The sequence below is a fragment of the Homo sapiens genome, chromosome 19 (genome assembly GCF_000001405.40).
Source record: "Homo sapiens chromosome 19, GRCh38.p14 Primary Assembly".
NCBI lineage: Eukaryota > Metazoa > Chordata > Mammalia > Primates > Hominidae > Homo > Homo sapiens.
This window is the reverse complement of record NC_000019.10, coordinates 10,921,490-10,942,073: the sequence shown is the minus strand read 5'-3', so window position 1 is coordinate 10,942,073 and position 20,584 is coordinate 10,921,490. Positions and strand designations below refer to the sequence as shown.

The 20,584-nt window shown below is 53.0% G+C and overlaps 3 protein-coding genes across 15 annotated transcripts in view, besides 6 other annotated features; 1 reads left to right on the top strand and 2 right to left on the bottom strand.

The window, feature by feature from the left end:
- Positions 4,240-4,739: an enhancer, noted in NCBI's record as "H3K27ac hESC enhancer chr19:11048011-11048510 (GRCh37/hg19 assembly coordinates)". NCBI's record gives its function as "activates a minimal SCP1, AML or CMV promoter by ChIP-STARR-seq in naive H9 embryonic stem cells {active_cell/tissue: H9 hESC(naive)}" and the evidence as "EXISTENCE:reporter gene assay evidence [ECO:0000049][PMID:30033119]".
- Positions 5,669-6,000: a silencer, noted in NCBI's record as "fragment chr19:11046750-11047081 (GRCh37/hg19 assembly coordinates)". NCBI's record gives its function as "represses an EF-1alpha promoter that drives an FKBP-Casp9 reporter gene in an ReSE screen in phorbol 12-myristate 13-acetate-treated (for megakaryocytic differentiation) K562 erythroleukemia cells {active_cell/tissue: K562(+PMA)}" and the evidence as "EXISTENCE:reporter gene assay evidence [ECO:0000049][PMID:32094911]".
- TIMM29 (translocase of inner mitochondrial membrane 29) lies at positions 11,820-13,263 on the bottom strand. Its single transcript, NM_138358.4, has 2 exons — positions 13,158-13,263; positions 11,820-13,060 (listed from the first exon to the last, which is right to left on the bottom strand). The coding sequence occupies exons 1-2, from the start codon at positions 13,249-13,251 to the stop codon at positions 12,372-12,374; spliced, it is 783 nt and encodes a 260-aa protein (NP_612367.1). The 5' UTR covers positions 13,252-13,263; the 3' UTR covers positions 11,820-12,371.
- Positions 12,818-12,867: a silencer, noted in NCBI's record as "silent region_10096". NCBI's record gives its function as "represses an Ori minimal core promoter by ATAC-STARR-seq in GM12878 lymphoblastoid cells {active_cell/tissue: GM12878}" and the evidence as "EXISTENCE:reporter gene assay evidence [ECO:0000049][PMID:35858748]".
- Positions 12,908-13,187: a silencer, noted in NCBI's record as "silent region_10095". NCBI's record gives its function as "represses an Ori minimal core promoter by ATAC-STARR-seq in GM12878 lymphoblastoid cells {active_cell/tissue: GM12878}" and the evidence as "EXISTENCE:reporter gene assay evidence [ECO:0000049][PMID:35858748]".
- Positions 13,401-14,101: an enhancer, noted in NCBI's record as "H3K27ac-H3K4me1 hESC enhancer chr19:11038649-11039349 (GRCh37/hg19 assembly coordinates)". NCBI's record gives its function as "activates a minimal SCP1, AML or CMV promoter by ChIP-STARR-seq in naive H9 embryonic stem cells {active_cell/tissue: H9 hESC(naive)}" and the evidence as "EXISTENCE:reporter gene assay evidence [ECO:0000049][PMID:30033119]".
- On the top strand, positions 13,435-19,881 carry YIPF2 (Yip1 domain family member 2). 9 transcript variants are annotated; one of them, NM_024029.5, is made up of 10 exons: positions 13,435-13,489; positions 13,634-13,694; positions 14,115-14,275; positions 14,358-14,444; positions 16,301-16,388; positions 17,882-17,998; positions 18,075-18,241; positions 18,397-18,579; positions 18,667-18,802; positions 18,900-19,881. In NM_024029.5, the coding sequence occupies exons 2-9, from the start codon at positions 13,664-13,666 to the stop codon at positions 18,781-18,783; spliced, it is 951 nt and encodes a 316-aa protein (NP_076934.1). In that variant the 5' UTR covers positions 13,435-13,489; positions 13,634-13,663; the 3' UTR covers positions 18,784-18,802; positions 18,900-19,881. The 9 variants fall into 9 exon arrangements, with proteins under 9 accessions (NP_076934.1, XP_024307467.1, NP_001308368.1 ...); XM_024451699.2 differs by having other exon boundaries at positions 18,883-19,881; NM_001321439.2 differs by having other exon boundaries at positions 13,435-13,563.
- Positions 14,102-14,804: an enhancer, noted in NCBI's record as "H3K27ac-H3K4me1 hESC enhancer chr19:11037946-11038648 (GRCh37/hg19 assembly coordinates)". NCBI's record gives its function as "activates a minimal SCP1, AML or CMV promoter by ChIP-STARR-seq in naive H9 embryonic stem cells {active_cell/tissue: H9 hESC(naive)}" and the evidence as "EXISTENCE:reporter gene assay evidence [ECO:0000049][PMID:30033119]".
- Positions 18,999-20,584, bottom strand: part of CARM1 (coactivator associated arginine methyltransferase 1) — a 51,523-nt gene continuing 49,937 nt past the window's right edge. For all 5 annotated transcript variants that reach the window (NM_199141.2, NM_001370088.1, XM_047438058.1 and 2 more), the window contains one exon: positions 18,999-20,459. In NM_199141.2, the coding sequence (NP_954592.1) occupies positions 20,317-20,459 (143 nt within the window). In that variant the 3' untranslated portion in view covers positions 18,999-20,316. The remainder of the gene's footprint in view (positions 20,460-20,584) is intronic.

Genomic DNA, 20,584 nt, shown 5'->3' with positions numbered 1-20,584 from the left:
CAGACAATGGAATATATTCCGTAAGATAATATATTACACTAGAAAAGAACTAGCTGCTCAGGAGGCTGAGGTTGGAGGATCACTTGGCCCAGGGGTTCGAGACAAAAGCCTGAGACCCCATCTCCATGAAAAAAAAAAAAAAATTAGCTGGGCCTGGTGGCACATGCCTGTAGTCCCAGCTACTCAGAAGGCTGAGGCAGGAGAATCGCTTGAACCCAGGAGGCGGAGGTTGCAGTGAGCCGAGATTGCGCCACTGCACTTCAGCCTGGTGACAGAGCTAGACTCCATCTCAAAGAAAAAAAAAAAAAAAATCTGCCGGGTGCGGTGGCTCACGCCTGTAATCTCAGCACTTTGGGAGGCCGAGACGGGCAGATCACGAGGTCAGGAGATGGAGACCGTCCTGGCTAACGCAGTGAAACCCCGTCTCTACTAAAAATACAAAAAAAAAATACAAAAAAAAAAAATTAGCTGGGCGTGTTTGCAGGCGCCTGTAGTCTCAGCTACTGGGGAGGCTGAAGCAGGAGAATGGCCTGAACCCGGGAGGCGGAGCTTGCAGTGAGCCGAGATCCTGCCACTGCCCTCCAGCTTGGGCGCCAGAGCGAGACTCCATCTCAAAAAAAAAAAAAAAAGCTCCATAGGTACCTACCCTGTGTTCACTTTATCTTATGGAAAGTGACCATTTACTGGGCGCCAGACGAATACATAATTGACTATCCCCCTACCTGCTCCTTTTCTGTAGGAATATGTGAATTACATATGGATACATTTGGGATACATTACATATATGGATTTTATTACACATGGACACATTACTCTCCCATTTGCCCTCCAGCCCACTTTTCCCCTTTAAATACTGAAGCCCTCAAAATAATTTTTGGAGAAAGACACAGATTATGAACTGTGTCCGTGATTCTATGTTTCGTTCTTTTTCTCTTTTTCTTTTCTTTCCTTCCTTTCCTTTCCTTTCCCTCCCTCCCTGCCCCACTCCTCCCTCTCTCCCTCCCTGCCTCCCTCTGTCTCTCTCTGTCTCTCTGTCTCTTTCTGTCCCTCTGTTGCCCAGGCTGGAGTGCAGTGGTGCACAGCGATTCTCCTGCCTCAGCCTCCTTAGTAGCTGGGATTACAGGTGCCCACGACCGCGCCCGGCTAATTTTTGTATTTTTAGTAGAGATGGGGTTTCACCATGTTGGCCAGGCTGGTCTCAAACTCCTGACCTCGGGTTATCTGCTCGCCTTGGCCTCCCAAAACGCTGGGATTACAGGTGTAAACTACTGCACCTGGCCCTGTGTTTATTTCTTCCAGGCATGTCCTAAACCTTGGCAAAATGAATTTCTAATTTGATGGAGACCTGTCTCAGATACTTCAGATACTATTCATTTTCAAATAATGAATAGCTATTCATAATCATCACTGTGGGCCAGGCATGGTGGCTCACACCTATAATCCCAGCACTTTGGGAGGCCGAGGCAGGCAGATCACGAGGTCAAGAGATCGAGACCATCCTGGCCAACATGCTGAAACTCCGTCTCTACTAAAAGTACAAAAATTAGCTGGGCATGGTGGCATGCACCTCTAGTTCCAGCTACTTGGGAGGCTGAGGCAGGAGAATCGCTTGAACTTGGGAGGTGGAGTTTGCAGTAAGCCAAGACTGCGCCACTACACTCCATCCTGGCAACAGAGCGAGGCTCCATCTCAAAAAAAAAAAAAAGAAAAAGAAAAAGAAATTGTCACTGTGGCCTGCCACAACATGGGAAAGGAACACAGCATCCTTGTGGCTGCCCTGAGGGAAACCTCAAAAGGCAAGTCAAGGATGTCTTCTGTAGATGGCTGTGAATTCCCCAGAAACTCCTTCTGGTAGGACATGATTGTGAACCAATGTTCTCTGAAAAGGAATTTGGAGGGAATAGATTGTATTCCAGTCAACAGTTTGCAAACTGAAGAGACACAGTATTTGGTGTAAAATGAAGGTGCATTCCAGAGAACAAAGGGAGGGTTCAGGTTTTTTTTTTTTTTTTTTTTTTTTTTTTTTTTTTTTTTTTTTTTTGTGAGACAGTCTGGCTCTGTCACCCTGGCTGGAGTGCAGTGGCGCAATCTGAGCTCACTGCAACCTCTGCCTCCTGGGTTGAAGCAATTCTCCTGCCTTAGCCTCCCGAGGGTTCAGGTATTATAGCAAAAATTCCAGCCCAGGTTCCCACTCAAGTCTGTTTATGCAAATCAGGGAGTCAAACTTGCCTAGTTTTTACTGGTTGACACATCTGAGTTCTGACTGATTGGTCCAGGAGACCTCTGAATGTCCAAAAGTTAAAACGGAGGCGTGAGTTTTGGGGCAACTCAGAATACATGTGTGACCTCTATTCAGCAAATGGTTGCTTGGGTGTACTTAAAATTGAAGCCCAGTCTGCCACTCCAGATCCATCTTGAAGGACTGGCTCTTTCAGGTTTTTATTTGTTCACCTGGTGAATCAGTAACAGGAAATGTGAAATGCCTGTGGCTCACCAGCTATAAATAAGATTGCAAGAACAAAAGAACTGGCTTCTTTGTACAGCTATTAATGAAACGATTGACCTGGGCACCCATCAGAAGTGATAAAATTGGGCCGGGCACAGTGGCTCATGCCTGTAATCCCAGCACTTTGGGAAGGTGAGGCGGGTGGATCACTTGAGGTCAGGAGTTTGAGACCAGCCTGACCAACATGGTGAAACCCTGTCTCTAATAAAAATACAAAAATTAGCCGGGCGTGGTGGCAGGTGCCTGTAATCCCAGCTACTCAGGAGGCTGAGGCAGGAGAATCACTTGAACTCGGCATGGGGAGGTTATACTGAGCTGAGATCACGCCACTGCACTCCAGCCTGGGCGACAGAGTGAGACTCTGTCTCAGAAAAAAAAAAAAAGTGGTTTTCTGCAACACATCAAAAGTGTATGCATAGGGGGCACTCTTCTAGGTTAAAAGAGACTTAAGAGGCCGGGCATGGTGTCTCAGGCCTGTAATCCCAGCACTTTGGGACGCCAAGGCGGGTGGATCACGAGGTCAGGAGATCAAGACCATCCTGCCTAACATGGTGAAACCCCATCTCTACTAAAAATACAAAAAAAAAAAAAATTAGCCGGGTGTGGTGGTGGGAGCCTGTAGTCCCAGCTATTCGGGAGGCTGAGGCAGGAGAATGGTGTGAACCTGGGAGGTGGAGGTTGCAGTGAGCCGAGATCGCACCACTGCACTCCAGCCTGGGCTACAGAGCAAGACTCTGTCTCAAAAAGAAAAAAAAAAGGACTTAAGGTTGGGCGCAGTGGCTCATGCCTGTAATCCCAGCATTTTGGAAGGCCGAGGAGGGAGGATCACCTGAGGTCAGGAGTTCAAGACCAGCCTGGCCAATGTGGCAAAACCTCATCTCTACTGAAAATACAAAAATTAGCCGGGTATGGTGGTGGGTGCCTGTAATCTCAGCTACTCAAAAGGCTGAGGCAGGGAGAATCACTTGAAGCCAGGAGGCGGAGGATGCAATGAGGTGAGATTGTGCCACTGTACTCCAGTCTGAACGACAGAGCGAGACTCCGTCTTAAAAAAGAGAGACTGAAAAATCACAACAACGAAATACAGTATGTGAACTTTGTTTGGATCATGAATCAAACAAACCAAGTGTAAAAGGACACTTTTGAGATCCTCAGGGAAATGTAATATCAGATGATACCAAATAATAATTGTGGACTTTGATAGGTGTGATAATGGTAGTGTCATGATATAAGAAAATGAAATTATAGGCCAGACGTGGTGGCTCACACCTGTAATCCAAACACTTTGGGGGGCCAAAGGGGGCAGATAACCTGAGGTCAGGAATTCGAGACCAGCCTGACCAATATGGTGAAACCTCTGTCTCTACTAAAAATACAAAAACTAGCTGGGCGTGGTGGCGTGCACCTGTAGTCCCAGCTACTCAGGAGACTGAGACAGGAGAATTGCTTGAACCTGGGAGGTTGCAGTGAGTCGAGATCATGCCACTGCACTCCAGCCTGGGCAACAGAGCGAGAATCTGTCTCAAAAAAAAAAAAAAAAAAAGGAAGAAAGAAAATGAAATTATAGGGGTAATATGACAGGATATCTGGGATTTGCTTTAAAATACTTCGGTTGTCAACGGTAAAGTTTGGGACCAAAAAAAAAAAACAAAGAACTTCTGTTGGCTGGGTGTGGTGGTTCACGTCTATAATCCCACCACTTTGAGAAGCTGAGGCAGGATCATTGCTTGAGGCCAGGAGTTCGAGATCAGCGTGGTCAACTGCAGCCTCAACTTCTCTAACTTAGGTGATCCTCCCACCTCAGCCTCCCAAGTAGCTGGGACTACAGGCACGCACCACCACATCTGGCTAGTTTTTGTATTTTTTTGTAGAGACAGAGTCTCACTGTGTTGCCCAGACTGGTCTTGAACTTCTAGGCTCAAGCAATCTGCCCCTCTCGGCCTCACAAAGTGCTGAGATTACAGGTGTGAGCCAGGGCACCCCCAGCCCATCTTACACATATTGACCGATGTCTCATGTCTCACTAAAATGTATAAAAGCAAACTATGCCCCAACCACCTTGGGTACATGTTCTCAGGATCTCCTGAGGGCTGTGTCCCAGGCCATTGGTTACTCATATTTGGCTCAGAATAAATCTCTTCAGATATTTTCGGAGTCTGGGCCAGGCGCGGTGGCTCACGCCTGTAATCCCAGTACTTTGGGAGGCCGAAGTGGGTGGATCAGCTGAGGTTGGGAGTTTGATAGCAGCCTCACCAACATGGAGAAACCCCGTCTCTACTAAAAATACAAAAAATTAGCCGGGCATGGTGGCTCATGCCTGTAATCCCAGCTACTTGGGAGGCTGAGGCAGGAGAATCGCTTGAACCCGGGAGGCAGAGGTTGCGGTGAGCCAAGATCGTGCCATTGCACTCCAGCCTGGGCAACAAGAGCAAAACTCCGTCTCAAAACAAAACAAAACAAAAAAAAAAACAAAAAAAGATTCAGAGTCTGACTCTTTTTGTGGACATAAGTAGGTAAAGGTGCAGGTTCCAGAGATGAAGGTGGCCCCTCCGTGGGGCCTCGACTTCTGCCATCATCTATCCAATTCCAAGGCACAGTAAACTGGTGCAAGTGGAAGCTGCACGACCTCCACTTGCTGCTGCCCGCGGACAAAAGGAACCTGCGTTGAGCCATTCCATGGGGGCTAAGTAAGGCAGGATGGAATCAGCTACGTTCTGTCTCCGAACTAAGTCTCTGATGCCCTCTGCTGGTCTTTCTAATCACAACAGTGGGAAAGATACTTTTTTTTTTTTTTTTAAGACGGAGTCTTGCTCTGTCTCCCAGGCTGGAGTGCAATGGCACCATCTTGGCTCACGGCAACCTCCGTCTTCCAGGTTCAAGTGATTCTCCTGCCTCAGCCTCCTGAGTAGCTGGGATTACAGGCGCCCACCACCATGCCCGGCTAATTTTTGTATTTTTAGTAGAGACAGGGTTTCGTCATGTTGGTCAGGCTGGTCTCCAACTCCTGACTTCAGGTGATCCTCCCATCTCGGTCTCCCAAAGTGCTTGGATTACAGGCGTGAGCCACCACGCTCGGCCGAAAAGTACTTTTCAAAGGACGTGCTGGAGGGCAACTCCTGGGCTAGCCTGGAAAGCGGAAATAATTAAAGCTAACCAAGAATCCAAGAATATTTTATTTCCTTGGGAGGCTGAGGCAGGAAAATCACTTGAGCCCAGGAGTTTGAGATCAGCCTGGGCAACACAGTGAGATCTCATCTCTACAAATAACTTAAAAAATTAGCCGGTGTGGTGGTGTGTGTCTGTGGTCCCAGCAGCTTGGGAGGCTGAGGTGGGAGGATTGCTTGAATCCAAGAGGTCGAGGCTGCAATGGGTCGTTAATGCACTCCAGCCTGGGTGACACAGCGAGACCCTATCTCCAAACTGCTCCCCCCCGCCCCCGCCTTTTTTTTCAAGGGAGAACTCAGGCCGGGTGCAGTGATGCACACTTGTAATCCAGCACTTTGGGAGGCCGAGGTGGGAAGATCATTTGAATTCAGGAGTTCGAGAACAGCCTGGGTGACATAGCGAAACCCTGTCTCTACAAAAAAAATACACAAAAGTTAGCTGGGCATGGTGGTGCACACCTGTAGTCCCAGCTACTTGAGAGCCTGAGGTGGGTGGACAGCTTGAGTCCAGGGAGGTCGAGGTTGCAGTGAGCTGAGATTGCATCACTGCACTCCAGCCTGGGAGAGAGAGTGAGACCGTCCCTGAAAACAAGGTGTGGGGGAGAACTCAGAAATGTTCATATTAGATTCGGCTGTCACTTGGATCTGAGAAAGAAGCGTGCCTTGGCTCTATCCTATCAGACATTGGGCCCTCCCTACATGGTGGCCCTGCACCACTAGGCAGGGTGCATCAGCCCCTCCACAACCACTTAGGAAGGTCACAGCATGGATTCGGAGCCATAATCTTCCCTGCACAGCCGCACCACAGACTGTGAATGCCTACTCTGTACCAAGTGCTTTAGTGGGCTTTTAAATTTTTCTGACAAGCCCACACTTAGAGATAAGGAGCCCAAAGCATGGAGAAGTGACTTCACTCACAAAGCAAGGAAGTGTAAAAGCTGAGTTCCAAATCCTGGCTTTAAAGCCCACTTATGCCTCCTGTCCTCTGCCTTACACCAGAGCATGGGCTGAAGTACAGTGAGACCTCTGGGAAAAGCTGACCCTCTGCCCAAAGCCAAGACACAAAGCCTTCAGGCTGCCCAAGCTCCACAATTCCTACCAACAGCGCCGACCACTGCCCTCAGCTTCAAGCTCCCAGCAGCTTCAGATGATCTTCCTGGAACACACCCTGGCGAGAAGTCAAAAGTGGCATTTAATAACTGACTCAAGCAATGATGGTGTGGACCCTTTCCAATACTTCTGATCAATGAGAAACAAGTGTCTTTGATGACACCTTAAAACCCTTCCCTGAAGTTGGCTAATGTCTAACAGAGGGCAGATTTGGGGACAGAGATTTTTGGCAGGTAATGGTGTAGAGATAGCATTTAGTTAGTATCATCTCGACGTCTTTTGTTTCCTTTCATTTTTGGGGGTTAGAGGGGAGATAGTGTCTCACTCTGTGGCCCAGGATGGAGTGCAGCGGCATGACCAAGCTCATTGCAGCCTCAAACTCCTGGGCTCAAGGGATCCTCTCACCTCAGCCTCACAAGTAGCTGGGACCACAGGCACACACCGTCTCACTTGGCTATTTTTTTTTTAATTATTATTTATTTATTTATTGGGACGGAGTTTTGCTCTTGTTGCCCAGGCTGGAGTGCAATGGCATGATCTCGGCTCACTCCCGAGTAGCTGGGATTACAGGTGCTTGCCACCATGCCCGGTTAATTTTTTGTATTTTTAATAGACACGGGGTTTTACCATGTTGCCCATGCTGGTCTTGAACTCCTAACTTCAGGTGACCCACTCGTCTTGGCCTCCCAAAGTGCTGGGATTACAGATGTGAGCCACCACACCTGGCCTATTTTTATTTTTAGTAGAGACGAGGTGTTGCTATGTTATCCAGGCTGTGTCTTTTGGTTTTATTGCATTTCTTTTTTATATATGTATTTCTTTTTTTCTTTTTTCTTTTTTTTTTTTTTTGAGAGGGAGTTTTGCTGTTGTTGCCCAGGCTGGAGTGCAATGGCACGATCTCAGCTCATCACAACCTCCCGGGTTCAAGCGATTCTCCTGCCTCAGCCTCCTCAGTGGCTGGAATTACAGGCATGTGCCACCACGCCTGGCTAATTTCGTACTTTTAGTAGAGATGGGGTTTCTCCATGTTGGTCAGGCTGGTCTCGAACTCCCAACCTCAGATGATCTGCCCACCTCGGCCTCCCAAAGTGTTGGGATTATAGGCGTGAGCCACTGCACCCAGCCTATATATGTCTGGTTTTTTTTTTTGTTTTTTTTTTTTCTGAGACAAGTCTCACTCTGTCGCCCAAGCTGGAGTGCAGTGGCTCGATCTCCGCTCACTGCAAGCTCCGCCTCCCGGGTTCACGCCATTCTCCTGCCTCAGCCTCCCGAGTAGCTGGGACTACAGGCACCTGCCACCACGCCCGGCTAATTTTTTAAATATTTTTAGTAGAGACGGGGTTTCACTGTGTTAGCCAGGATGGTCTCGATCTTCTGACCTTGTGATCTGCCCGCCTCGGCCTCCCAAAGTGCTGGGATTACAGGCGTGAGCCACCACGCCCGGCTTTATATATGTATTTCTATATCCAATTTTTATTTATGGCAACTGATAGCAGTATTTAACTATTTCTGACAAGAATTATTAGGATCAAAGTCCACAAGTTTGAGGATTAAGTCACAGAGCTGGGAGTTACAGTTCGAATCTTGGTCCTGCCACAGCCTTGGAAAAATAAATTTTCTGAACCTCAGCTTTTCCTCTGTAAAAGTGAGATGCTGACTTAAACCAACACCTGTTCAACCCACTGATTATGAATGCAAGGGTCAAATGCCAAAATTTGAAAGTAGCAAACACACAAAAACAAGTATCACAAACAAAGATAGTTGTTTTACCACCTGGTTTTATTAACTTGCCACAGGCCCCTGAGGTAGCATCACTCCCTTAATACTTCAGTTTTATGTTATTTATTTTTTCTCTTTTTTTTTTTTTGTGTGACGGAGTCTCACTCTGTTGCCCAGACTGGAACGCAGTGGCGTGATCTCGGCTCACTGCAACCTCCACCTCCCGGGTTCAAGTGATTCTCCTGCCTCAGTCTCCCAAGTAGCTGGGATTACAGGCGTGCGCCACCACGCCCAGCTAATTTTTGTTAGACGGGGTTTCACCATGTTGGCCAGGATGGTCTTGAGCTCTTGACCTTGTGATCCACCCACCTCAGCCTCCCAAAGTGCTGGGATCACATGCGTGAGCCACCGCATCCAGCCTTATTAATTTTTTGAGACGGGGCTTGCTCTGTCACCTAGGCTGGAGTGCAGTGATGCAGTCTTGGCTCACTGCAGCCTCAACCTCCCAAGCTCAAGCAATTCTTCCACCTCAGCCTCCTGAATAGTTGGTAGTACAGGTGTGTACCATACCCGATTAATTTTTGTGTATTTTGTAATTTTGTGTATTTTGTAGAGACAGGATTTCACCATGTCGCCTAGGCTGGTCTCGAACTCCTGGACTCAAGCGATCCTCCCACCTTGGCCTCCCAAAGTGTTGTAGTTACAGGTGTGAGCCACTGCGCCGGCCATAAATTACACTTAAAAAAAATAAAAAGTATTGAGGCCGGGTGTGGTGGCTCACGCCTATTATCCCAGCACTTTGGGAGGCCAAGGCAGGTGGATCACAAAGAGTTCAAGACCAGCCTGGCCAAGATAGTGAAATCCCGTCTCTACTAAAAATACAACAATTAGCCGGACGCAGTGCCAGATGCCTGTAATCCCAGCTACTTGGGAGGCTGAGGCAGGAGAATCGCTTGAACCCAGGTGGCAGAGGCTGCAGTGAGCCGAGATCATGCCACTGTACTCCAGCCTAGGCAATAGAGTGAAACTCTGTCTCAAAAAAAAAAAAAAAAAAAAAAAAATATTGGCCGGGCGCAGTGGCTCACACCTATAATCCCAGCACTTTGGGAGGCCGAGGTGGGAGGATCACTTGAGGTCAGGAGTTTGAGACCAGCTTGGCCAACATGGTGAAACCCCATCTCTACTAAAAATACAAAAACTAGCTGGGCATCATGGCATATGCCTGTAATCCCAGCTACCCAGGAGGCTGAGGCAAGAGAATCACTTGAACCTGGGAGGCAGAGGTTGCAGTGAGCCGAAATCGTGCCACTGCACTCCAGCCTGGGTGTCAGAGTGAGACTCTGTCTCAACAACAACAACAACAACAAAAATACAATTTACCATAACCTAGCTAAGTACCAGCTGTGTACACTAACTTACTTCTTTTCATAGAATTCTGTTTCAGGGTTACTGAAGTACAACATAACCAGAATCTATGATTCCATATAGATTTCCAGACCAGAAAATGCTTTATCCTTCCAAGCCACCTCCAGTAACTTACAATGCTCATCTGGTAAACAGGTTGTTTTACAAAAAACTTCCCTGTAACATCCCAATAGTCATGACACTGTCAATTGCCTGGTTTTGTATTTTTAATAGGGAACGAGGGCCGGGCACGGTGGCTCACGTCTGCAATCCCAGCACTTTGGGAGGCTGAGGCAGGCGGATCACCTGAGGTCAGGAGTTTGAGGCCAGCCTGACCAACATGATGAAATCTCATCTCTACTAAAAAATACAAAAATTAGCCGGGCGTGGTGGCATGCGCCTGTAATCCCAGCTACTTGGGAGGCTGAGACAGGAGAAACGCTTGAACCCAGGAGGCGGTGGTTGGGGCGAGTGCCACTGCACTCCAGCCTGGGCAACAAGAGCGAAACTCTGTCTCAAAAAAAAACTTAAAAAAATCAAAACAAAAATGTTACTTATTTATTTATTTTTTTGAGCTGGAGTCTCACTATGTTGCCCAGGCTGGAGTGCAGTGGTGCAATCTCTGCTTGCTGCAAGCTCCACCTCCCGGGTTCACGCTATTCTCCTGCCTCAGCCTCCTGAGTAGCTGGGACTACAGATGCCTGCCACCACGCCCAGCTATTTTTTTTTTTTTTTTTTTTTTGAGACGGAGTCTTGTTCTGTCGCCCAGGCTGGAGTGCAGTGGCGCAATCTCGGCTCACTGCAAGCTCCGCCTCCCAGGTTCATGCCATTCTCCTGCCTCAGCCTCCTGAGTAGCTGGGACTATAGGTGCCCGCCACCACGCCCCGGTAATTTTTTGTATTTTTAGTAGAGACGGGGTTTCACCATGTTAGCCAGGATGGTCTCGATCTCCTGACCTCGTGATCCACCTGACTGGGCCTCCCAAAGTGCTGGGATTACAGGCGTGAGCCACCGCGCCCGGCCAATTTTTTTGAATTTTTAGTAGAGATGGGGTTTCACCGTGTTAGCTAGGATGGTCTCCATCTCCTGACGTCGTGATCCACCTGCCTCGGCCTCCCAAAGTGCTGGGATTACAGGCTTGAGCCACCGGGCCCATCCACTTATTTTACTTTTTGAGACAGTCTCACTCTGTTGTCCAAGATGGAGTGCAGTGGCACGATCGTGGCTCACTGCAGCGTTGAACTCCCAGGCTCAGGTGATCCTCCCATCTCAGCCTTCCTGAATAGCTGGGACTACAGACATGGTCCAACATGTCTGGCTAATTTTTCTATGTATACATATTTTCAATTCTCATTCAACACCTTTGGTAAATTTTTGTACTTTTTGTAGAGACGGGGTTTTGCCATATTGCCCAGGCTGGTGTTGAACTCCTAAGCTCAAATGATTTGCCTGCTTTACCCTTCCAAATATTTTAGTTTTTGAGAAAGCTCTCACTATTTTACCTAAACTGGTCTTGAACTCCTGATCTCAAGCAATCCTCCTACCTCAGCCTTCCAAAGAGCTGGGAATGGCAAAAATGTTACTTATCAAAATGAAAGGCCAGGTGTGGTGGTTCACTCCTATAATCCCAGCACTTTGGAAATGCGAGGCAGGTGGATCACCTGAGGTCAGGAGTTCAAGACCAGCCTGGCCAATATGGTGAAACCCCATCTCTATTAAAAATACAACAATTTGCCAGGCATGTTGGCACAGGCCTGTAATCCCAGCTACTGAGGAGGCTGAGGCAGGAGAATCACTTGAACCTGGGAGGCAGAGGTTGCAGTGAGCCGAGATTGCACCACTGCACTCCAGCAGGCAAAACAGAGCAAGACCCTGTCTCAAAAAAAAAAAAAAAAAAAACGAGAGAGAATAGGTCATAGAATAAAAACATTTCAGCTCAAATTTTATTTAGTTAATTACTATTATTATTCTTTTTTGTAGCATCGGAGTCTTGCTATGTCACTCTAGCTGGCCTCAAACTCCTGGCCTCAAGCGATTCTCTTGCCTCAGTTTGCAAACTGCTGGGATTACAGACATCACCATGCCAGGCCACAACCCAAACTTGAAAAAGAAAATCTAAGTGGCCTTAGAAGAGTTTGCAAGTCAGCTGACCAATGTGGTACCTCCTTAAGGAGGGCCTCTGAGGCCCGATGAAAAAGGCTTATATAAAAGGCTCATGACCAGCTCTGCCAGTGATGAACATGTGTCAAGTCGTTCTGCTGTCCCCAACTCCCGGACCCAGGTGGCTCTGAATTAGCTTCAGCTAATAAAGAACAAAGACGGGGGGCAGAAAGGCTCCCCAAACTTGTGCAAATCCAGTGAGAAAACACTTTGCACATCATCTGTCTCAGCTGTTCTGCAGGTGAGGCACACTCAGAACTGCACCACCCCAGGCAAGCAGTTTGCCAGGACTCGGGGGCCTCAGGGTTTCATCTCGGGGCCTCCGCCTGCACCAGCGAGTGGGCCTGGCTCAGGGCGAGCCTGTCCTTCTTCTCCTTCTGCAAGACCTGCTCCTCCCACAGCGCCTGGTCCACCTGATCGTCGGTGAGCACGACAGGCTTGTACTTCTCATCGAAGAGCCGCTCGTTGGTCTCGGAATGCAGCTGCTGGGGCCCGACCACCCGCAAATGCGCCGGCAGGTGCAGGAATTCGTCGTCGTTGATGTCGCAGTCGCGCATCCAGGCCCCCAGCACCCACCAGCGACCCACGAAGCCCACGTCCAGGACCCGGCCGGGGAAGTCGGTCCAGCGGGGCTGCAGGTAGCGGCAACGCGCCTGGTAGAGGCTGGCCTGGGCGTCGAAGGGCGCCTCGTACACCAGCGAGCAGAGCCCCAGGTTGACGTAGCGCAGGCGGCCACGGCCCCGCAGCCAGAGCAGCCTCTGCACGAAGGCTTCGGACTCGCGGTTGCGGGTGGCCGGCGCCAGCAGCAGGAGGGTCCCCGACGCCTCCAGCAGCGCCTCCTCGAAGGCACCCTCGCTGGGCGCCAGCGTGAAGCAGGCCGCCGCGCCGCCCAGCAGACCCACATACACAGCGGCGCGCCCCGGCCGGGCCCTAGCCTCCGCCGAAGCGTCCCTGCAGGCCTCGGCGTAGTCCCGGAGCAGCGCGCGGGCCCAGGACCCTGAGGGGAGAGGAGCGCGGTAAGAGTGATCCGGCCGCGGCGGCCACCCACCCTGTCGCGGCGGCCACCCACCCTGCCGCCTTCCGCCGCTACTCACCCAGCCGCGCCCACACTCCCGGCTTCGCCACTACCGCGTCGCCCGCCTCTGCGCGGCGCCGGGACCAAAATCTCCTCAGAGCCGCCGCGGCCATCCTCTTCCGTCTTGGGGGTCCTTGCTCCGGGAAGAAACTCCTGATACCCGACGTTAAGAGCCCGGGAGTCTCTTCTGCGCAAGCGCCAACTTTACCGGAAGTGGCTTCCCAACGGGAGAGGATAGAAAGAGGACAGGCGCCGGATGTTGCTGTCAGGTCTGAGTCGGTTGGAGTCTGACGGGTAGGCGAGACGCGCAGGCGCAGAGAGCCCCAGCCACGCCGGCCCAGGTGGCCTCAGGTGAGGGGGGGCGGAGCGCACCTGTGGGGACGGGACGACGAGTTCAAGCCTCCGTGGGTGCAGTTGGTCGCCAGGTAGGGCTGGGGGCCGAGGGACCGGCTCGGGGGCGGGGGGGAAGTGTGCCTGACCGGTCTCTGTCCTCAGCGAGGGATGCGGAGACGCCCCTGAACGACCATGGCATCGGCCGACGAGCTGACCTTCCATGGTGAGTGCGGCCCCGACGTGGCCGGATCTCCCACTCCCGCCCCGGGCCAGAACCTCCCCCCGATACGGCTTCCAATTTCTCTACCCCGAAGCCTAGGCGGCTGTGAACCCTGACCCAGGAGTGAGACCCATCTCTGACTCGAACCCCGCCCCCGCCCTGAACTCAGACCTCAAACCCGAGCCTCTCGTCCCCAGACCCTGACCCCATCCCAGCGTCAACCCTAAGTTGCAGTTCCACTTTAGGAGGAAGGGAACAGATGTCCTCCGGATGCCTCCAAACTGAGGAAGTTGGGCCCCACCTTGGGGGAGATCAATGGCTCAGCAGAGCCTCCGCCCCCAGATGAGCATCGGTTTAGCTTGGGCCCAGTCGAGTTCTTTCCACCCCTCAAACGTGCGTGTGTCCCATATACCTCCTCCACAGAATTCGAGGAGGCCACTAATCTTCTGGCTGACACCCCAGATGCAGCCACCACCAGCAGAAGCGATCAGCTGACCCCACAAGGGCACGTGGCTGTGGCCGTGGGCTCAGGTGGCAGCTATGGAGCCGAGGATGAGGTGGAGGAGGAGAGTGACAAGGCCGCGGTGAGTCCCTGTGTCCTGCCTCCTTGCAGCCCCCAGCTGACCCAGGCTCTCCGGGCAGGCACTGAATGCCCGCAATGTGCAGCTCCTGCAGGAGCAGCAGCAGCAGCAGCAGCCGGGATTCTGGACCTTCAGCTACTATCAGAGCTTCTTTGACGTGGACACCTCACAGGTCAGGCTGGGGAGGCAGGTGGGATGGGGCTCAGAGTTATGCTCAGGGTTCAGCCACTCTTCCCCTGGGCAGGGTGCTGGTGATGGTGGGTGCTGGTGAACGAACTGTGGTGCTCTCAAAGGGTTATGGTGGGACTGGTTATGGATCGGGACTATGGGAACACAGGGGACACACACAATCTGGTGGGTTAGAGAAAGGCCTCCTGGGGGAGGTGAGGAATTGGCTGAGACCTAAAGGAGACAGAAGGCTTCCCTGGGGAATAGGGTAGGGAAGCAGGAGTATATGTTCCAGGCACAGGGAACAGCATATGCAGAAGACCAAAGATGGACTGGGCGCAGTGGCTCCTGCCTGTAATCCCAGCACTTAAGGGGGCCGAGGTGGGCAGATAACCTGAGGAGTTCAAGACCAGCCTGGCTAACATGGGGAAACCCCGTCTCTACCAAAAATACAAAAACTGCCGGGTGCGGGGTGGCTCATGCCTGTAATCCCAGCACTTTGAGAGGCCTGGGTGGGTGGATCACCTGAGGTCAGGAGTTTGAGACCAGCCTGGCCAAACATGGTGAAACCCCGTCTCTACTAAAAATACAACAAAATTAGCCGGGCTTTGTGGTGGGCGCCTGTAATCCCAGCTACTCTGGAGGCTGAGGCAGGAGAATCGCTTGAATCCGCCAGGCGGAGGTTGCAGTGAGCCAAGATCGTGCCAGTGCACTCCAGCCTGGGCAAAAAGAATGAGACTCTGTCTCAAAAATAAAATAAGATAAATAAAATAAAATTAAATAAAAAATAAAATAAAATAGAAAAATTAGCCAAGTGCAGTGGTCGGCGCCTGTAATCCTAGCACTTTGGGATGCCGAGGCGGTGGATCACTTGAGGTCAGGAGTTGGAGACCAGCCTGGCCAACGCGGTGAAACCCCATCTCTACTAAAAATACAAAAATTAGCCAGGCATGGTGGCACACACCTGTAGTCCCAGCTACTCAGGAGTCTGAGGCTCGAGAATCACTTGAACCTGGGAGGCGGAGGTGGTAGTGAGCCAAGATCGTGCCACTGCACTCCAGCCTGAACAGAGTGAGACTCTGTCTCAAAAAGAAAAAGGGGGTGCTGAGGCCGGGTGCGGTGGCTCACGCCTGTAATCCCAGCACTTTGGGAGGCCAAGGTGGGAGGATCATGAGGTCAGGAGATCGAGACCATCCTGGCTAACACGGTGAAACCCCATCTCTACTAAAAATACAAAAAATTAGCCGGGGGTGGTGGTGGGCGCCTGTAGTCCCTGCTCTTTGGGAGGCTGAGGCAGGAGAATGGTGTGAACCCAGGAGGCGGAGCTTGCAGTGAGCCGAGATGGCACCACTGCACTCCAGCCTGGGTGACAGAGCGAGACTCCGTCTCAAAACAAAAAAAAAAAGAGGGAAAAAAAAGAGGGGGCTGGGAACGGTGGCTCACGCCTGTAATCCCAGTACTTTGGGAGGCCGAGGTGGGTGGATTACCTGAGGTCAGGAGTTCGAGACCAGCCTGGCCAACATGGTGAAATCCCGTCTCTATTAAAAATACAACTATTAGCCAGGCGTGGTGGCACACGCCTGTAATCCCAGCTACTCGGGTGGCTGAGGTAGGAGAATTGCTTGAGCTCGGGAGGCAGAGGTTGCAGTGAGCCGAGATCATGCCACTACTCCATCCAGCCTGGCCGACAGAGCAAGACTCTGTCTCAAAAAAAAAAAAAAAAAAAAAGAGAGGGAAAGGCTGAGTTCTTTCAGGTGGGGCATGGAAAGAGAAGGGTGGAGGTCAGCAGGGAAGGAGCCTCTCAGGACAAGGGAGAAGCTCCTGGCAGACTTCCATCCTTGACCTTGGCCTTGCCCCCAGGTCCTGGACCGGATCAAAGGCTCACTGCTGCCCCGGCCTGGCCACAACTTTGTGCGGCACCATCTGCGGAATCGGCCGGATCTGTATGGTGAGTGAGGTTGTGCATTTGGTTCCTTGATGGATCACTCAACAAGTGTGGCCTGAGTTGCAGATGCCAGTGTATAGCTGCGGACAAATCAGTCACTCAGACAGTGTGACTTACCTGCTGTTCAGGGAGACAGAGACATGAAGGACTGCAGAGGGTGGCGGGTAGAGAGCAGCAGAGCAGACAGGAGGAGTGGCCCTGCAGTTCTGCAGGGTGCAGCAGGGCAGGCCTCCCTGAGGAGGGTGAGGGAATGAGCCTTGTTGGCAACAGGAGGGGTGGGGGAGACCTAGGAAAAGAGGCTTCCAGAAACGACGTAAGCTTCATGGCAGGAACTTGCATGAACTGCAGGGCGGCATTACCACTGGAGCGAGTGAGCTGCAGGGAGGTCACAGGCGAGGGGACAGATCACACAAGCCTCCCATGCTGTGGCAAGAAGAGATCTTTTTTTTTTTTTTTTGAGACAGAGTCTCACTCTGTCACCCAGGCTGGAGTGCAGTGATGTGATCTCAGCTCACTGCAATCTTCCCCTCCCGCATTCAAGCGATTCTCCTGCTTCAGCCTCCTGAGTGGCTGGGATTACAGGCACGTGCCACCATGCCCGGCTGATTTTTATATTTTTATTAGGGACGGAGTTTCACCGTGTTAGCCAGGCTGGTCTCAAACTCCTGACCTCAGGTGATCCACCCGCCTCGGCCTCCTAAGTGCTGGAATTACAGGTGTGAGTCACTGTTATCTGGCCGAGAATGGATCTTTAAGTGTTTTCGGGGTCCCTCTCGCCATCATGAGTGGCGAGGGCGGAAGCCAGGAGGCTGGGGTGGAGGCGGCCACATGGTGGGGACTGTGGATGTGGAGAGTGGCACTGGATTCTGGAACGTGCTGGGGAAGTAGAAGAGACTGGCTTTGTGGCTAGATAGGTGGGGGTGGGGGGAGTGGGAGGTTAGGAGCGGAGGCAGGCTCTAGGGATTTCTGCCTGGACTAACGGGATGGATAGAGTTGCCACGTATCCACGGGACCAGCTTGGCAGTGAGGGCAGAGGGCAAGGGTGTGGATGAAGCCGGAGATGCCCACCCGGGAGCTTGAACTGGAGCCTGCAGTGCTCAGGGCAGAGCCCTGGGCTCTAGAGGAGGCATAAGGCCCTGGGCTTGAAGGAGGTCATACTATGGGTGAACGCAGACATGGAAGGGGCCAAGAACTGGGCCTGGCTGCTCCCCATGGCTGAAGGGGTCAGAGAGTCAAAGAGGAGGTGACAGGGGTTGAGGAATTGGCACCAATGAGGTGAGACACAGGCCAAGGGTGTGCAGTCCTGAGTGTTTCGGGGAGGGGGATGAACTGACAGCCAGCACTGGGCTCAGCCACCAGGAGGCCCCCGGTGTCCTGGTGAGTCAGGCAAGGTGCTTAGGAAGAGGCTGGGGTCTCAGCACAGCTCAGTCAGGATACATGTCTGCTTGTCCTGGGAGTGCAGGGCCCGGGACCCTGACTGTGCCCCCTACCCCCAGGCCCCTTCTGGATCTGTGCCACGTTGGCCTTTGTCCTGGCCGTCACTGGCAACCTGACGCTGGTGCTGGCCCAGAGGAGGGACCCCTCCATCCACTACAGCCCCCAGTTCCACAAGGGTAAGCAGACGGGCAGGCCCAATGCCTGGCAGGGCCCTGGGGTACAGGGGGTGACTGCTCACCTTGCCCCCCCCAGTGACCGTGGCAGGCATCAGCATCTACTGCTATGCGTGGCTGGTGCCCCTGGCCCTGTGGGGCTTCCTGCGGTGGCGCAAGGGTGTCCAGGAGCGCATGGGGCCCTACACCTTCCTGGAGACTGTGTGCATCTACGGCTACTCCCTCTTTGTCTTCATCCCCATGGTGGTGAGTGTGGCCTGGCGCGGAGTGGGTGGTGGCTGTGTGGGGACACTGGCATGGTCACCTGCCGCCTCATTCCCATGGTGGTGAGGGTGGCCTGGTGCAGAGTGGGTGGTGGCTGGGGGGACTGGCATGGTCACCTGCCGCCGTGTTGCTCCCAGGTCCTGTGGCTCATCCCTGTGCCTTGGCTGCAGTGGCTCTTTGGGGCGCTGGCCCTGGGCCTGTCAGCCGCCGGGCTGGTATTCACCCTCTGGCCCGTGGTCCGTGAGGACACCAGGCTGGTGGCCACAGTGCTGCTGTCCGTGGTCGTGCTGCTCCACGCCCTCCTGGCCATGGGCTGTAAGGTACGGGTCTGGGGTGGCCACAGGTGGGGCCGAGGGGCTAGGGGGGCATGGGCTGGCCCTGCCTCTGACCCCAGGGGTCTTGTGCAGTTGTACTTCTTCCAGTCGCTGCCTCCGGAGAACGTGGCTCCTCCACCCCAAATCACATCTCTGCCCTCAAACATCGCGCTGTCCCCTACCTTGCCGCAGTCCCTGGCCCCCTCCTAGGAAGGCCCGGGTCCCACAGGTAAGGACTATTCCCAGCTGGGCTAAGGGGGCTGCCCTCCCACTCCCAGTCAAGGCGAGAGGTTCTGGGGCCACTCCCAGACAATTCTTTCTTTCAGGCAACACCTAAGTGGACCAACCCCTCTGCCTGTCCTGCCCCCCAGACGATGACTGAAGGCTCCTTTGACACCTTGAGATGATTCTGCTACTTTCCAGACTTTTCTTACAAAGCAAACACTTTTATTTTCTATGCAAAGGTGATTCAGAGAATTTATATAAAGGCGGGCGAGGGGCAGCCGAGCAGGGAGCTTTGGGACAGGGCTGGGGCCCCCATATCCCCCCCGGGCCACCTGCTTTCCCTCCTATGGCTCCCCTGGAACAGGAGGGAGAGCCAAGGGGGCGGCCCAGCCTGGACAGCGCCCGCTCCTGCCTGGGTGCACACACGGCGGGCCTGAGCTCCAGCATCTGAGTTTGGGGGTATGAGAAACAGGGGAGCAGAAGGAGAAGAAAACTGCCTGTGCTGCAACACGTTTCCTCATTTATTTTTTCTTTCTTTTTCTTTTTTTCTTTTTTTGGAGGGAGAGGTCCCTGCAAGGTCCCTTCCCGGGCAGGGGAGGGATGGAAATGCCGTCACAGTAGTAGGGACTGGAGCGTCTACAAGGATGGAGGGGAGCTACTCAGGCCTAACGTTAGCTACAAGGAAAAAGGACGCCTTCCGTGACAGATCCTTGAGGTGTCTGTGTCTGCCCCAAGTGGCCGGCAGTGGCCTTCCCTCCGGGCCCAAGGCCTGCAGCCACCTGCTCTAACTCTTGAGTGGGGGGGCGGGGGGGGACCTGCAGGGGCTCGGGGACAGGACAGCAGCAAGAGGCAGGGGCCGAGGACGGAGGCCTTCCCGACAGTGGGGTGGGTTGTACATTCAAGTGTGAGGTGAACCCTTTGGTGGGGAGGGGGCCCCTGAAGCCTCGGCGGGGCCACCCCTCCCCGCGGCGCCTCTGAGTCTAGGGAGAGGGGCTGCTGGCTCGGCCCGGCCGGCCTGGCTTCACAGAGGGTCTGCGGATTGACACTGGTTCTTTTCATAAAAAAATAAAATTAAAAAAAGCAGCATGTCACGTCCGTTGTGACCGAGGCCTGGTCGTCGAAGGGGAGGCCCCGCCTGGCCAGGCTACCTTCCCACTGGAGACAGGCAGGGGGACAGGTGCTAAGGGACCTGGCAGGCAGGGCTGGCAGGCCCCATGGCGCCTGTTCCAGCAGATGACAAGCCCAGGTCAGGGTAGAGCGGGCAGGAGGGGGGACGAGGGCTCCCACAACATGATTTTGTGTAAAATATGGCAGCGACACACGCTCAGGGCCGGGAGGTGGGGGTTAGGGTGGGGACGGCGGCAACATCGTGTAAAAAAGTGTCCCAGTTCCCATAGCAAAGAGAGCTGTGACCGGGTGTTCGAGCTTCTCCAGTACAAGGGGGAAAGCCGCCCGGCGGGGGCGGCGGGCAGGGACATCATTTGGTTTCCTGGTGCTGTCAGTCCGCGGGGCGGGCCCCTAGCTCCCGTAGTGCATGGTGTTGGTCGGGATGGACATGGGCGACGCCATGGAGATGGCGGGGCCGCCCATGGTGAACTGGCTGTTGACTGCATAGTGGGCACTCGTGCTGCCACCACCACTGCCCTGGGCGCCGGAGGACCCTGTGGAGCAGGCAATGGCAGTGAGGGGCTGCCCTGGCCCGCCCAGCCCCCAGGCAGAGTCACAGAGAGAGAGAAAGGGCAGGCAAGAGGGCAGGCGGGCGGCCGGACAGAGGATGGCGACTCAC